This window comes from Homo sapiens, chromosome 2 (genome assembly GCF_000001405.40).
Source record: "Homo sapiens chromosome 2, GRCh38.p14 Primary Assembly".
Classification (NCBI taxonomy): domain Eukaryota; kingdom Metazoa; phylum Chordata; class Mammalia; order Primates; family Hominidae; genus Homo; species Homo sapiens.
This window is the reverse complement of record NC_000002.12, coordinates 39,161,969-39,163,554: the sequence shown is the minus strand read 5'-3', so window position 1 is coordinate 39,163,554 and position 1,586 is coordinate 39,161,969.

Genomic DNA, 1,586 nt, shown 5'->3' with positions numbered 1-1,586 from the left:
TGAATGCCTTTCCTATTCATCAGTTTCATCCTTCATCCAATCCCCAGTATTCTACTCTCTGCTCTGACAAAGACCAGTTCCATTATCCAATTTCCTTCTTCCCAAATTTGCTAATCTCCCCCTTCTACTACCTACAATTTCCAGATCAGAGAAAATCACTCCATATTTAATTGTGTCTAATATAAGAACTCCCTGTAAAAACCAGCACTATTTTATATAAACTACATTTGAAAATAACCTTAGGTTGAATTCAAATAAATCCCTACAATATATTTTAAAGATTGATATCTCTCTGGATGCTGTACACCTTCTTATTTTTAAAGGTAATCCCATTTGGGAAAAACAATCCCTCACCAAAATTGACTCCATCAAATATTCCCTCTAAATTATGGGTTCTTGTCCAGGCAAAGTGGCTCACGCCTGTAAACCCAACACTTTGGGGGGCTGAGGTGGGCGGATCAGTTGAGGTCAGGAGTTCAAGACCAGCCTGGGCAACATGGTGAAACCCTGTCTCTACTAAAAATATAAAAATTAGCCAGGTGTGGTGGTACATGCCTGTAATCCCAGCTACTTGGGAGGCTGAGGCAGGAGAATCGCTTGAACTCAGGAGGTGGAGGCTGCAGTGAGCCGAGATCGTGCCACTGCACTCCAGCCTGGGCAACAGAGCAAGACTCTGTCTTAATTAATTAATTAAGCATTCTTAGTCATGAATTGACTTCAAGGCATTCATTGGAATTCCCCTCTTCAATTTCCAAATACAATTTCCAGATGTAACCCAAGGCTGCTACCGCCCCAAACTCCTGAGAGCTCTACTGGGTTCACACCCTGAGAGCTCAGAGTACTTCCCACCTACAACAAAGTGTCTGCATACCAGCTTGCTTTTCCCTTCTTGTTGAGCCCTTTTTGACTTGAAATTGAGCAAGACCATAACTAAATCTGCACTATTGACTGGTTGGCCTAGAAGAGACTAAAAATCCCTTTCTCGTTCTGCTTTAAATATTTAACATTTAAAAATTAGAATGTAATTAGAAGTTAGAGTTTCAAAGCAATCCCACTGAGAAGATTAGGGAGATTAAGTACCAGTTTTAAAGGGATAGCTTTCCCAAGAGCTGTTTGTCATCGGTATGCTGAGAAAATGGATGTGGGGCTGGGGCGATGGGACTGTTGGGTGACCAGAGGACAACAGGAGGGTGCTGGGGCTTTTCTTAGGGGTTGGGATTGGAGGGCACCACAAGAGAGAAACAGAGAAGCTGGAAATTTGCCTATAGCAAACCGTGTCTGCTTTGGAAATTTACCAACTCAGACCTTGGCCATCTGTTCTTCCAAAGAAATCCATCAAAGCAGTGTAGGAAAGTGGAAAACACCTTGGCTGGGATCTAGGGCCACCTCTGCTACCTAACCTCACGGCATTGGGTATGTCTGCTTCTCTCGCTGGCCCCTCAGTCTGTAACAAGGGGTATGGAGCTACATTAGATGATTTTAAGGATCCTTCCAGCTAAGACACTTTGTGAAACGACATAACAGGCCGGGGCAGTGGCTCACGCCTGTAATCCTAGCACTTTGGGAGGCCAAGGTGGGTGGACCAC